Here is a 15223-nt window from a genome sequence, read left to right on the forward strand (position 1 = left end):
AGTGAGCCGAGATGGCACCACTGCACTCTGGCCTGGGTGACACAGCCAGACCCTGCCTTAAAAAAAAAAAAAAAAAAAAAAAAGATTTAAAAAACGGTCTGTTTATTTAAAAAGAAAAGTGAAATAATGCCCAACAGTACATTTACTCTCTTTTCAGGCTGGGTGCGCTGGCTCACGCCTGTAATCCCAGCACTTTGGGAGGCCAAGGCAGGCAGATCACCTGAGGTCAGGAGTTCGAGACCAGCCTGGTCAACATGGCAAAACCCCGTCTCTACTAAAAATATAAAAATTAGCCAGGCATGGTGGTGCAAGCCTATAATCACAGCTACTTGGGAGGCTGAACCAAGAGAATCACTTGAACCCAGGAGGTGGAGGTTGCAGTGAGTTGAGATCACGCCACTGCACTCCACCTGGGCAACAGAGTAAGACTCTGTCTCAAAAAAATAATAATAATAATTTCATATGGGTTAAATTTTAAGGTCAGATGATCACAATTTTGATATTTTGTCTAATTTTATACCTTAGGTGACTTAGAGCCTGATTTAACGTGACTTTGTCTTGACTACGGATACGTGGAACTGCAGCCAAATATATTGTTCTGTTTTTAAAAAACAACAAAAAAAAAACCTGCTTCAGTTACTAGGACTGAAGAAAACTGGGCAAAGGGGGGCCCAGGAGGCTAGGTCCCTACATCTGCCATTCTTGGCAGCTGCATTTCACGGTTAGAAAAACTCAGGAAATAGCCGGGCGTGGTGGCTCACGCCTGTAATCCCAGCACTTTGAGAGGCCGAGGCAGGTGGATCACCTGAGGTCAGGAGTTCGAGACCAGCCTGGCCAACATGGGGAAACCCTGTCTCTACTAAAAATGTAAAAATTAGCCAGGCGTGGTGGCAGGCGCCTGTAATCCCAGCTACTCGGGAGGCTGAGGGAGGAGAATTGCTTGAACCCAGGAGGCGGAGGTTGCAGTGAGCCGAGATTACGCCACTGCACTCCATCCTGGGTGACAGAGCAAGACTCCCTCTCAAAAAAAAAAAAGGAGGAGGAAGAAGGAAGAAGGAAGAAGAAGAAGAAGAAGAGGAAGAGGAAGAGGAAGAGGAAGAAGAAGAAGAAGAAGGGGAAGGGGAAGGGGAGGGGAGGGGGAGGGGGAGAGGAGGAGGAGGAGGAAGAACAACTCAGGAAAGGAGGTCTCACACACTGCAGGGAGGCTCCAAGCTACAAAGTTGGGGGCGATGGGGGGGACCAGGGCTGCCAGTACCAATGCCTTCATCCCTTTGAAGGCCTCCCTCTCAGAAGCAAGGACCCCCTCCTTGGCCTCAAGTCCCCGCCCTCGTTGGTTAAAACACAAATCACTTCTCTGTCGTTATGACCTGCCTGTTTTTGACTGAAATGGTCATACAGAAGGAAGTCAGTTTGAAATATTGGTGAGTCAAAATGATTAAATAGGCCGAGCGCAGTGTCTCACGCTTATAATCCCAGCACTTTGGGAGGCTAAGGCGGGTGGATCACTTAAGCCCAAAGCTCTCTGCAGGAAGCCCCGGACACCCTGGGGCAGGCGGGAGGAGAGGGCAGCACAACCCAGGCTCCACCCAGCTTCTCTCAGCTTCCACCTCCCAAAGGCCACAGAGGAGCCTGGGACAGGAGCAGAGGGCGGGGGTTCCAGTGACTTCTGGAACATTCATGATGGTCCGTGCAAAGCATTCCTGGGAGGGTCCGTGATCACCTCTGTCCCTGGGTGGCTGGGCTCCAGCAGCCCTTCCTTCCTTCTGTCCATTCTTCCTTCTGCCTGCACCTCCTCCCAGCATGTGGCACCCCCACATCCTAAGCCTGTGTCACTTTCTTTCCATGGATTCTTTGACCGCCTTCCTCTTCTCACTGACTTGGCATCTAGGGGCTTCTTGGTGGAGGAAGGTAACTGGTAAGAAATGACATACTGAGGCCAGGCGTGGTGGCGCACGCCTGTAATCCCAGCACTTTGGGAGATCAAGGCGGGTGGATCGCTTGAGTCCAGGAGTGCAAGACCAGCCTGGGCAATATAGTGAGGGGAAAAAGAAAAAAAAAAGGAAGGAAGGAAGGACTGAGAAACTAGCAGAGTCTTCTGGCTGTCTGGGTGTACGGTCCAGCCCTACGGGGCTTAGCGGGTGTTCTCCCTGTGTGCGGAGATGAGAGATTGTAAGAAATAAAGACACAAGACAAAGAGATGAAGAGAAAACAGCTGGGCCCAGGGGACCACTACTACCAAGACACGGAGACCGGTAGTGGTCCCGAATGACTGGGCGTGCTGAAATTTATTGCGTACAAGACAAGGAGGGCAGGGAAGGAGGGTGAATCTTCCAAGTGATTGACAAAGTCAAGCAAGTCACGTGATCATAGGACAGGGGGCCCTTCCCTTTTAGGTAGCGGAAGCAGAGAGAGAACGCAGCATATGTCAGCGTTTTCTTCTATGCACTTATAAGAAAGATCAAAGACTTTAAGACTCACTATTTCTTCTACCGCTGTCTACTACAAACTTCAAAGAGGAACCAGGAGTACGGGAGGAACATGAAAGTGGACAAGGAGCGTCATGACCATTGGAACACAGCACCACAGGGAGGGGTTTAGGCTGCGGGTAGGCCTAGATAATATCCAGCCTTCCACAAGAAGCTGGTGGAGCAGAGTGTTCCCTGAGTCCTCCGAGGAAAGGAGACTCCATTTCGCGGTCTGCTAAGTTACGGGCGCCTTCCCAGACACTGGCATTAACCGCTTGACCAAGGAGCCCTCATGCGGCCCTTATGCAGGCGTGACAGAGGGTTCACCTCTTGCCTTCTAGGTCACTTCTCACATTGTCCCTTCAGCACCTGACCCTCTCTACTCGTCGGTTATTCCTAGGTTATATTAGTAATGCAACAAAGAGTAATATTAAAAGCTAATGATTAATAATGTTTATATTAATGATTGATAATTGTCCATGATCATCTCTGTATCTAATTTGTATTATGACTATTCTTATTCTAACTATTTTCTTTATTATACTGAAACAGTTTGTGCCTTCAGTCTCTTGCCTCGGCACCTAGGTAATCCTTCGCCCACATCTGGGGACAGTCCTCATGTGTTCCTAAGCTCAGCCTCGAGGGTCCTGGGCTGGTCACCTCACCGCATCTGCACTGTGTCTCTAGATCCAGACTCCACGGGAAGGGCTTGGGATGCCTAGCACAAAGGATGCCTGGTGTGACAAACATCCCTCCATTCCCTGGACTGCAGCTCAGCAAAAGGTCCAGGTGGTGCCATGCCAATTTACTGTCCCTTTGAGATGAGCCCATAGGGCCTTGTGGGGGGCGAGTGTGAAGCTGGGCGCCTGGAGCCTAAGGCCAGCTGTCCCTCCCTGTGTCCTGGAGGAGGGGCCCTGTCCCAAAAAGACCCTCAGGGGCCTGGCCTGTGAGTGCAGATGTGGGGAGGGGAGAGTCTGTGGGCTGAGTGGGGGCCACAGGAACGGACTTTGAGCACCATGGCTGAGGGGCCTGGTCAGTGGGAACCTGGACATTGTGGCCTGGTCAGCCGAGGCCTGGTCTGGTCAGTGGGGACCTGGACCTTGTGGCTTGGTCAACAGGGGCCTTGTCAGTGGGACCTGGACATTGTGGCCTGGTCAGTGGGGGCCTTGTCAGTGGGACCTGGACATTGTGGCCTGGTCAGCGGGGGTCTGATCAGTGGGAACCTGGACATTGTGGCCTGGTCAGCTGAGGCCTGGTCAGTGGGTACCTCGACCTTATGGCTTGATCAACAGGGGCCTTGTCAGTGGGACCTGGACATTGTGGCCTGCTCAGCGGGGCCTGATCAGTAGGACCTGGACATTGTGGCCTGGTCAGCGGGGGCCTTGTCAGTGGGACCTGAACATTGTGGTCTGGTCAGTGGGGGCCTGATCTGTGGGACCTGGACATTGTGGCCTGCTCAGCGGGGCCTGATCAATGGGACCTAAACAATGTGTCCTAGTCAATGGGGGCCCGGTCAGCGGAGGCTTTGTGAATGGGGACACGGTCCTTGGGGACATAGTCAGAAAACACCTAGTAAATGGGGGTGTTGTCAGCAGGGACCTGCTCGGTGAGGATCTGGTCTGTGGGAGGCCTGGTCAGCTGTGGCCTGGTCAGAGGGGACTGATCATGGGTCCTCGAGTTAAGGACTTAGTCACTTGGCACCTCATCAGTGAGGACCTGGTCAGTGGGCGCCTGGTCAGCGGAAGCTGGGTCAGTGTGATCTGATTATTGGGGGTCTGGTCTATGGGGACCTAGTCATTGGAAACCTGGCCACTGGAGCCTGTTCAATAGAAAGGTGGTCAGTGGAAGCCTGGCAGTGAGGGCCTGGTCGTTGGGCTCCTGGGTAGTGGGGCCTAGTCAGTAAAGGTCTATTCAGTAAGGACATGGTCAGTTGGAATTTTCTTAGTTGGGGCCCAGTCAGTGGGGACCTGGTCAGCGAGGGCCTAGTCAGTGGGACTTGGTCAGTAGGGACCTGGGCACTGGAGTCCTGGGTAGTGGGGCCTAGTCAGTAAAGGTCTGGTCATTCAGGGCCTGGTCAGCCAGAACCTCATCTGTTGGGGCCGTGTCAGTGAGCTCTAGTCAGTGGGGACCTGGCAATGGAAGCCTCATCAGTGGGTCTTGGATAGTGAGGCCTAGTCACTGGAGGACTGGTCAGTGGGGACTTGGGTAAGGGGGCCTGGTCCCTAAAGGTCTGGTCATTAAGGACCTGGTCAGTTGGAACCTTGTCACTTTGGGCCCGGTCAGTGGGACCTGGTCTGAGGGGGTCTTGTCAGTTGGGCCCAAGTCAGTGGGAGTCTCATCAGTGGGGCCTGGCTAGTGGGGCCTGGTCAGTGGAGGTTTGGTCAGTGGGGTCCTGGTAAGTTGGAGCCTCATCAGTGGGGACCTAGTCAGTGGGGACTTGTCAATGGGACCTGGTCAGGGGACCCTTGTTAGAAGGAGCCTGGTCAGTGGGGCCTAGGTAGTGAAACCTGGCCACTGGGGGCCTGGAGAGCTGGGGCCTGCTCAGTGGGACCTGGTCAGTGTTGGATGTGGTTAGCGGGGCCTCATCAACTGGGGCCTGGCCAGTGGGACCTGGTCAATGGGAGCTTGGTCACTGAGGTCCTGGTTTGTGGGGTCTAGTCAGTAAGGGTCTATTCAGAGAGACTTGGTTAGTAGGGACCTGGTCTTTGAGGCCCTGGAGAGTGGGGCCTATTCAGTAAAGGCCTGGATCACTGGGGTCCTGGTTAGTGAGGCCTAGTCAGTAAAGGTCTGGTCACTGAGGACCTGGTCAGTCAGAACCTTGTCGGTTAAGGACCTGGTCAGTTGGAACCTTGTCAGTTGGGCCCAGTCACTGGGGGCCTGGTCAGTAGGGACATGGTTAGTGAGGACCTGGTCAGTGGGGGCCTTGTCAGTTGGGCCAAGTCAGTGGGAGTCCTGGGTAGTGGGGCCTAGTCAGTAAAGGTCTGGTCATTAAGGACCTGGCCAGTCAGAACCTCGTCAGTTAAGGACCTGGCCAGTCAGAACCTCGTCAGTTAAGGACCTGGCCAGTCAGAAGCTCGTCAGTTAAGGACCTGGCCAGTCAGAACCTCGTCAGTTAAGGACCTGGCCAGTCAGAACCTCGTCAGTTAAGGACCTGGCCAGTCAGAACCTCGTCAGTTAAGGACCTGGCCAGTCAGAATCTCGTCAGTTAAGGACCTGGCCAGTCAGAACCTCGTCAGTTAAGGACCTGGCCAGTCAGAATCTCGTCAGTTAAGGACCTGGTCAGTTGGGTCCAGTCAGTGGGGGCCTGGTCAGTGGAGACCTAGGCCATCAGTGGGTCCTGGATAGTGAGGCCTGGTCATTGGGGTCCTGGGTAAGTAGGGTCTGGTCAGTGAAAGTCTCATTGATGAGGCCTAGTTAGTGGGGTCCAGGCAGTGAGGGCCTCATCAGGGGGACCTAGTCAGTGAGTCAGTGAGGGCTTGGTGAGTGGGGGCCTCGTCAGTGGGGCCTTGTGCCTGGTGAGTGTGAACCTGGTCTTCAGGGGCCTGGTCAGCAGGTGACTGATCAGTAGGGGTCAGTGCAGCCCTGGCCAGTGGCTGCCTGATCATTGGACCTAATCCATCGGGGCCTGGCAGAGGTGGGGGAGGGGTGAGGGGGGGTGGCTGTCAGTGGGGCCTGGTCAGTGACATCCTGGTCAGCAGGCTCCTAGTCAGAGGGAGCCCAATCAATAAACCTGGTCATCGGGGGCCTGGTCAGTGAAAACTTGGTCGGCAGGGTTGGTCAGTGTGTCCTGGATATTGGGGATTGGTCAATGGGGGACCAGGTCGGTGGAGACCTGGTCATCGGGGCCCATTTAGTGAGGGCCAGGTCATGGAAGGCCCGGGTGATGGGGCCCTGGTTGCCTGGTCAGTTGGACCTGGTCATCCCAGGACTGATCCTCAGGGAACACTCTGACTTCACCAGGCTCCCCTGACCATGCCAGTCCCTGGCCTGCAGCCAATGGTGTCCTTTGTGTCTCTCCCAGCACAGACCCAGGCCCAGGGGATGCCCAATGCTGGGAGGAGGCTCAGACAGCAGGAAGGAGAGAAGGAAGGAAGGAACTTCCGTAGTACCGATGCCTACAAAATTACAACACGTGGTGCTGTTTCTACTCCATCACCATGTTCGCTCTTTATTTCCTATGTAATTCTCTATTCAACCGGCCTCAGTTGAGCACAAAACCATCCTTGTACCACCATGAATAGTTGGCCATGGCTCTTTGATAGCAATTTTTGTTCTGCCGTAGAAATTATCCTTGAACCAGAAAAAAAAATCCCCAATTCAACACTCCATTTTTGTGAAGAGCTGGTTCCGAATTCTGGGTCACTTTTTGGAAAAAATATCTGTTGTGGTAAACAGTGCTGCATCTGTGATCTCAAGTCTCTACTGGAATTGGATAGAGATGGTGAATTTCAGCCAGAGCGCCCAAAGAACTCGTGTCCCGCGCTCCTGAACGCCATCAGCCGCCGCACCTCCATCTTCCCTCCTCCCACGAGTCTCCTGCTCCCCGTGACTCTGGTAAGAGCTCCTCTGTGAACGTGGAGGTGGTCTGGGAAGTTGGCCCAGTGCTCCTGGGACCGCACTAACAGGTCCGAGACGGGGTCCAGGTCCTGCCTGGGCCAATCCGGGAAGAGCTTGCCAATGGCATCACAGGCACCTCGGGGAAGGGGATGGTTTGGTTCAGGACCACCCAGAGGCCTGCTGGGCCCACTCCAAGGCCTGGCTGAGGCCACAGAAGGGCTGGCCGCCTGCTGATGCTCCTTCTTGAAGCCCCTCACCTGCTGGCAGTGAGCTCCATGCCCTGTGGCTGAGCAGCAGCGCTGTTGTCCACCTTCCTGGGCAAGCATCTGCAGCTATCCATCTTGCTCTCCACCTCCTGCAGGTTGAGGGCAGTGGTGGGGGTAGTGCTCAGGGTCAGGAAGGAGCTGACCCCCACCATGCCACCCTTCTCACCCTTCCTCTTGCCCTGTTTCCAGGCCTCCTCGCAGTGTTGCTGGGCCACGTCAGGAAGTGCTGGAGGACGTGGCATTGCACCAACACCAGGCGGCCAGCCGTGTGGCTCATCCCGCAAATCAGGCTCTTCCTGTGCATGGAGATGGAGTCCCTCTGGAGGCAGCCCGTGGCCCTGTTCTCGGGCAGGTGGAGCATGGAGACGACTGGGAACTTCACTAGACACGCATCCAGCCGGTTCAAGGGCTTGTCGCGCCGTGCACCAGCTTGCAGGAGAAGTAGGTCTTTATGTCCTTGAACTTGTTCTACTGAGTGGTGTCGCCAGCGGTGCACTGGGTTCTCCTGCCACTTGGGGCCATGGGGTAGGGGTTTTCCTGCCACTTGGGGCCATGGGGCCAAGCACCAACAGCACCATGCACACAGCTTGTCCCTGTCTTTCACAGAGCCCAACGCCTCGCCAAGCACGAAGGCCTCCCTTCCCGACTTGATGAAGGCAGAGTAGCGGTTGAGGTTGCGGCTCACAGTGACCGAGCTCCTGCCCACGTGGGGACCCAGGGAGCCGTCGAGCTCCAGGTATGCACCTCTGCCCAGTGCACCTGGATCGTTCACCGTCATGGAGCTGCCATCCCACTTGTCGTCCCAGTCATCATCACTGCCCTAGCTGGCCTAGTTGCCACCAAGGAGCTGCTGAGGCCACGGCTTCAGGGCATCCCTACCGCCTGGAAATCCTGCGCTGGCTGCTGGAAGGCACTCTGTGGTGGCACCAGCTGCGGCTGCAGTAGCAGCTGGAAAGCACTGAGAGATGGCTTCAAGGAGGCAGGCAGTGCACCGGGCAGGGCCTTGAAACCTCTGGGTGGTACAATGGCCATGGCACAGTGGGTCAAGGCACAGGGGCAGCCATGGCGCGCTGGGCCAGTCCAGGGTTGCAGACCACTTGCACTGCAGATATAAGGCCAGGGTTGCTGAGGCCATGAGCCCCTGCGAGTCAGCCCTTGATGTCCTGCTCACTACACAGGCTCAGCACTTCATGTTCTCATAGATCACTCTCAAATTTTCTGCCATCAAGTGGTACAGCAACTGAATCCACAGTGCCATGGGTTCCCTGCGTGGTCATCCTGGCCACTGTGGAGGCACGTGACACCTCTAGTTCCCCTCCCCTCCCAGGGCTCAGGTTGAGGCCAGGCCCCTCTGGTCCTAGGAAGTGTGCCCTGAGGGTGGGGCTCTGTCCTGCAGGTTGAGTCAGAGGCCGCAAGGCACGCTACTGATGGCTAGGGCTGCAGGGGTGCCACACTCACCCCTCTCTGGGGAAGTCTTAGAGTGAACGGCGTTCTCATTAGAGATGACTTCCCAAGGCCCAAGAGCCATCTAGGGCTGTGGAGCAGCTAGCCGGGTGCTGCCCTAACTCCTTCCACACCGGGCTGGTCACTGCCCTCCAAGAGGAGTCGGATGCAGGTGCCATTGTGTAGAGAAATGTCTCTGGATCTGCCTCTTGGTTATCATGGGGCACAGTAGTTTCTGGTGTCTGGGCTCTGATGAAGCCGTTTAGCCGATCCAGGGCAGATGTGGAAGTGACAGGAGCTCAGCATCCCTGTTCAAGGTCATACCACAGGAAACACAAGCCCCCAACGCCAGCCTGCTCCATCGGAAGCTTTGGCATGGAATTCCACCAGAGGTACCGCCAGTTCACCCAAGGTCTGTCTTGAGCTAGGGACGGCCTGGCCACACCCTGAGCCCCGGAGGTTCCCAGAGAGCAACCTTCTGCCCTGGGCGCTGCAGAAACCCCCTTTTCATGCCACTGGGCCTTGGCCTCGGGGACAGCCTGGCCAGGCTAGGGTAAGGGAGGACCAGGCTCCCATTCCAGAGGAGTCGCCTGCATGTGCTGCTGGAGCTGGGCGGGTGGGCCGGGGAGGGCCAGCCCATCCCCCTTGCAGAGAGGCTCAATGCTGGGAAATACCCGAAGAGCCCTGGGTGCTGGGGTCCCTCCCTTAAGTTTGCCTGAAGAGAATGCAGATGAACCCAGCCTCTCCACCAAACCCATCAGATGTTGTCGCAGGGCCAGGTTCTGCACATCTGGGTCTCTGGAGTCCTTGGGGCCCCTCTGTCCTCCACCCTAGCCTGACACAGAGGACACCCCTGCAGGCTGCAGATCCCAGAGCAAGGGGTGTGTGCAGCTGCCTGGGTATCCCCCCTGGGACAGGTAACACAGGCTTTAGGCTGGCTTATGCCTCGTATCCTCATCCCAGGGCTGTGGGGCCGGGGATGCAGCCCTGATTAGGAGCTCAGGTGGGAAGAAGCTCTCACTGTCACCTGGCCCCCTTGCCACCTCACATGGGGGCCTGTCTCAACAGTGGGTGAGATGGCCCCAGGCACGGGGTCCTCTCCGCTCTCTGGGGCCATCCACTCCATGCCAGGACTGGACCATTCCCACGCCTGGCTGAACTCTTGTTTCTGGCCCTGGGCCAGAGCTCCTGCCCGTGTCCTCTCCCCGAATCCTCTGGGCCAGAAACACTGATTCTCCTGTTCACCTGGCATCCCTGAAGGCGCGCTGTGGAGTGAGGGGACCCTGCTCCTCCCGGCGTCTGTTGATGCTCACAGCGGGGGCAGGGAGCTCGCACAGACCAGAGAGAGTGTAAAAGGTGCAGGGGGCACCCCCGCCTGTCTTGAGCAGCATGTCCAGTACACGTGCACTCAGCACATCCCCTGAAAACCGGCAGGTCTATTTGTAGAAGTTTCTCTGTGTAGAGGAGGAAGAGGTGTGGGAGGAAGGTCCAGGTAGTAGGGCTGCAGGGACCCAGGCCCCCTCTACTATCAACTGCCCCAGAGGATGACTCAGGAGGGGACCTGATGCTGGAGCCTCCCTAGGGGTGGCAGGTCCCAGTGTCTCCTCGTCAGTTCCTTCATGCAGACCCAAAAGTGCGTGAGAACCACATCGTCCTCCAGGGCCCAGGCCTGGGAGAACGTCTCCTGAACCAATCCTTATAGTCCAGACTGGGACATATTCATGAGGCACTCTAGGGACAAGGGGGTAGCATGGAAGGGGTCGGTGCCCACACCCAGGTTTCCACCACAGCTACCTCCCACTGGGAGGTTCTGGGTCCTTTTGCAGCCACCCCTGGCTTCCAGCTGTGCACAGGAGGCCATGGCCAGGGGGAGGCCTGGGTGAGGAGGTGCCCACCACACTCCTGCCTTTGATCTGGGTCTTGTCAAGGTGGGCTCCTTGTCTGGGAGGACTCAGTGTCCTGCTCAGCACAACAGGCCCAGCCTGGCCCTCCAGACTGAAGCAAAGGGTCATGGGGACAGTGTGAGGGTGCTGTCCCTGGGCCAGTCCAGGTCTGTCCTGGGGAGTGGGGCTGGGGGTCTTCCTGGCATGTTCCTGGAACAGAGTCACTGTGAGGATGAACAGGATGACTGTCTGCCTGGTCAGCACAGAACGGGCACCCAGTGAGCACTCGAGGATGACCCTCCTCGGGCAGCTGCCGCCCACCCAGTAGCGACTGTCCCCAAGTCAGCAGGGAGGGAAGAGAGCAGGTCACGCTCTCCTAAGTCTGATCAAGCAGCCGTGCAGAGATGTGCCTCTCACCTAGAAAAGAGAAAAGCGTCCTTTGGGCAGAACCCACTCACACTGTGTCTCCAACTGCTCTACGACACAGAGCCGGGCAGGTACCTGGGTGTTGGGTAATGGTGACATTGTGGGCTCACGGCACCCATCACAACGGAGCCCTGCATGGGTCAGCAGGGCCCAGAGACGGCATCCTCTGCCCCTCCTGAACTGTCGACGTGTGCGTGCAATGCGTCTGTGCACTTGAGTGCAGGTGGATATGTGCGGGTGCGTGTGAGCGTGTGTCTCTCCTCCGGCCGGCCCTGGCTTCCCCAATCACGTGTGCCCCCATGTCCTCATCACTGTCACCCCAGGGCCTGTGGTCAGCATCAGAGCATCCACAGGTGCGCCCCAGCCTCTGCCTTCAGGCAGGGTGGTCCTGGGGATGCAGGCAGGGCAGGGCAGTGCCGTGGGTGAAACCCCCTCCCTCGGGAGGGACTCAGTGTATACGGTACTAAATCTGCATAGCAGGGCCATATTCAATGCACTTCTCCTCCTCCCAGTAGCTCTCTGGGGTGCAGTTGATTTCATCTCCCCTACAAATGGAAGAAAGGAGGCTTCTAGGACAAACCCCCTGCCTGAGGTCACCCAGCAGCCAGCTGACCTCGTCCTTACTAAGTCCCCACTAACCAGGCCCCCACTCACCAGGTCCCCACCCACCAGGTCCTGTTGACTAAGCCGGACTGATCGTGTTCTGTGCTGACCAAGCCCTGCAGACTGGGTCCCACTGATCAGTCCCCCCCAGTGACCAAGCCACCACTGACCCGGTCCCCCGTGACCATCTACCCACAGACAAGGGCCCATCTTCTTAAGTCAACCCATCTAAGAAAATGGGTTTGGCCCCAGACCAAAGCCATTTTCTTAAGTTCCATGGAGCTCACTAGGGTATAAAGCCAAGTGGGGAGAGGCTAAGCTTCAGAATCTGGACGTTTTCAACATTTCCAGGTATTTCCACATTCTTCACAGTGATTTCACCAATGTGCTCTCCCACCATTGAGGGTTTCTACCTGCCTCCAAAACTGCTGGTGTTGCCAGACTTTTCATTTATGTTGGGTGTTGGGTTTGAAATGCCTCATGGTGGCTTCTTGTTCCTCATGACTGGTGAGGTTGGGTGCCCTTGTATTTTAATCCTGTGCCAACTGGGCCCCCCCACCCCCACCCCCGCCACTTGCTGTCTCTGCTTCGTAAGGAGATCTTCTTGCCCGGTCAACTCCGAGGGATCACAGGTTCAGGGGTGCCCCCAAAATGAGACACTTAGTGTTTGATGAATGAATGATGATGTTGAGGCCAGGAGTGAGAGGAAGGTCAGCAGGCAGACAGGGCCCATGTGGACAGAAAGGGTTTATTCCAAGTCCAGACATGACCAATAGCGATAAAAAGGGGGAACAATTGGAGTAATCCATGGGAGAAGGAGTGAGCCTGAATTTGAAAGATGGAGAGAACTGGACGTGGAGGAGGGGAGGGAGGAAGGCAGAACAAAGGAAATAAGAAGCTGTTGACCAAAATACATATGTTGTGATTCCATGCATATGATCAAAACGTGATCGTGTAATCATGCACATTTCTCAAATTCAAATGGACAAGGTATACATAATTTTTCCCATTCCTCCCACGAAGCACAACTAAAACCCTGGGCCAGACATCATACATAAAAACATAAGACTCTGAATAAGATTCAGCCTTTAAAAACAAAGCTTGTGTTTACGTGGATGAACCCGGAAGACGTTCAGTGAAATAAGCCAGGCACAGAAAAACAAATACTTCCTGTCTCACTTGTGGAATCTAAAAAGCTGAACTCCCAAGTAGAATGGTGGCTCCAGGGACTGAGGGAGGGAGGAGGGACTGAACAGATATTGGCCAAAGGGCACAAGAGGAATTGTTCAACATGGTGACTCTAGTCAATGTATTTTATTCTTGAAAAATGCTGAGTAGTCTGGGCGCAGTGGCTCACACCTGTAATCCTAGCACGCTGGGAGACTGAGGGGGATCACTTGAGGCCAGGTGTTTGAGACCAGCCTGGGCGACATAGTGAGACCTCATCTCTTTTTTTTTTTTTTTTTTTTTCAATATAAAAAAACTGAATTGCTGAGCAAATTTTAAGTGTTCTTACCACAGAAAAAGAGATAAGCATGGAGGTATGGTCACGGGTATGTCAAGGAAATGTTAAATTAGCTTGATTTAGATATTTTACGCTGTACGCCTATGTCAAAACATGTTCTATGCATCATATTTACAACTTTGTCAAAATAAAAAGTGATTGGGAAATTGGATCAAACTAGAAAAATGTAAGACTCTGAATGATGGAGGGAAGGCAGACACAGTGGGAATTTCAGGACCCAAGGAATGACACGAAAGTCAATTCTTTGGTGTTTTGTTTTGTTTTTCGCCACATACAGCCCAGGCTTGGACCTGAAGAAGCTGGCAACCCGCGAACGCCAACAGGCACAGTCGAAAAAAGCAAAAGAAAAATCCCAAACAAAATCCTGTTCTCCCTAGCCAAAGGACCAGGAGAGGGGGCAGCCCAGCAAGACAAAACACATTTACACAATTCTGGCTAACCTCAGCCAGTCCTTGGCCGTGAGTTCGTTTTTCTGCCACCTCACTTTGGGGCTGGGCTGGTTCTCCACCCTCGCAGGGTGCGTTTCTCAATCCAGACGCTGGGGGGCGCTAGTACCTCGCGAGCTCCGCGAGGATCATTCCCGGGACGCCGCGGAGTCACCTCCCCTCCTAGGGACCCAGAGCTTCCCAGGGCCGCGCCTGTAGGTTTTCCAGAGGTCCCCGAAAACGTTAAAGACCTGGAAGGAAAAAAAAACTGTAAAACCACACACTTTGATATTTGACAACGTAAAAGCAAGGCTGCAAAATCAAAATCAATGAACGCTTGAAGGAAATGTCTACTTAGCTAGACATAGTGCCACCTGGATTCACTGTTGGCTCCAGAATCCCCCCCACGGTGTCATCACGTTGGAAAGTTTTTGTGGGTTAGATGTTCTCTGTTGGCAAGAATGCCTGTACATGCCCAAGAAGCATATGAGTTTAATGGGACCCCAATAACTTCAAAAGCAAAAAGATAACGATCCTTTCTACTTTTTTAACTTTGTGTGTGTGTGTATCAGGGTCTTGCTCTGTTGCCCAGGCTGGAGTGCAGTGGCGCAATCACAGCTCACTGCAGCCTCAAATTCCTGGACTCAAACCGTCTTCCCACTTCAGCCTCCCAAGTAGCTGCGAGGATGCACACCACCACGCCCGACTAATTTTTTTTATTTTTTTAGAGTCAGGGTCTCACTATGTTGCCAGGGCTGGTCTCAAACTCCTGGGCTCAAGTGATCCTCCTGCCTCGGCCTCCCAAAGTGCTGGGATTATAAGTGTTAGCCACCGCACCCAGCTTCTTCTTGTTTTAACAGGAAGAAATACATTCAATGTGAGTGCCTTTTAATGTTTGATATTAAACAAGTCCTCCACGAGTGCAGGTACCCAGGGATGTGCCATACAGCCCTCTGCCTTCACCTATGCTGTTCCCTTTGGCCTCCATCACCCTTCCCTTCCCACATCAGCCAATTCACCTCCCATTCATCCTTCATATTTTAGCTCAGTGTTACCACTTCAGGAAAACCTTCCCTGGTCCCAAGGGACAAGATACTGTTTGTCTTCACCTGGAACATCCTAAGGGCTCAATAACGAATGAATGAATGAATGAATGAATGAATGAATGAATGAATGAATGAACACAGGTGCATAAGCATGATAGGCTTGTCCTTGTAGGGCCTTCCCATGCCACTCAAAATACATATGACCTCATTGCAAAAATATGAATACTGGCTCACAAAGTCATCCTGCAAAATCAGGCACATTCAACAACAGCCCTGTGCTGAGCCGTGTCGGGGCAGTAGAGAAAGCTCAACCCAAAACCCTACTCTTGAGAGGCTCCTCTCTGGGGGTTGGAGCACAGAGCCAGACACAGACATCACTGGCCTGTGTGTTCAATGAAGGAAGGGAGGGAGGGAAGGAGAGAGGCCGGGATGAATGGTTGGATGGGTGGATGGATGAAGGGATGGAAGGATGAATGAGTGGATGGATGGATGGATGGATGGATGGATGGATGGATGGATGAATGGAGGAATGGAGGGATGGATGGATGAATGGGTAGATGGATGAATGGATGCAGGGAGGGATG

At 54.5% G+C, this 15223-nt stretch overlaps 1 long non-coding RNA gene and 1 pseudogene across 2 annotated transcripts, besides 1 other annotated feature; one reads left to right on the forward strand and one right to left on the reverse strand.

Annotated features, from left to right (window-relative positions):
* The first annotated feature begins 5719 nt into the window (after window positions 1–5719).
* LINC00905 (long intergenic non-protein coding RNA 905) lies at window positions 5720–14142 on the forward strand. 2 transcript variants are annotated; one of them, NR_024335.2, is made up of 5 exons: window positions 5720–5835; window positions 6487–7019; window positions 7478–7729; window positions 7895–8024; window positions 13446–14142. It is a non-coding gene; the product is annotated as a long intergenic non-protein coding RNA 905 (long non-coding RNA). The 2 variants fall into 2 exon arrangements; NR_110321.1 differs by lacking the exon at window positions 5720–5835 and adding an exon at window positions 6127–6213 and having other exon boundaries at window positions 6748–7019.
* Window positions 6836–8102, reverse strand: SNX33P1 (sorting nexin 33 pseudogene 1; annotated as a pseudogene).
* Window positions 7104–7605: an enhancer, noted in NCBI's record as "H3K4me1 hESC enhancer chr19:16145907-16146408 (GRCh37/hg19 assembly coordinates)". NCBI's record gives its function as "activates a minimal SCP1, AML or CMV promoter by ChIP-STARR-seq in naive and primed H9 embryonic stem cells {active_cell/tissue: H9 hESC(naive and primed)}" and the evidence as "EXISTENCE:reporter gene assay evidence [ECO:0000049][PMID:30033119]".
* Window positions 14143–15223: the final 1081 nt, after the last annotated feature.

Source organism: Homo sapiens, chromosome 19, assembly GCF_000001405.40.
Source record: "Homo sapiens chromosome 19, GRCh38.p14 Primary Assembly".
In the NCBI taxonomy this organism is placed as follows: domain Eukaryota; kingdom Metazoa; phylum Chordata; class Mammalia; order Primates; family Hominidae; genus Homo; species Homo sapiens.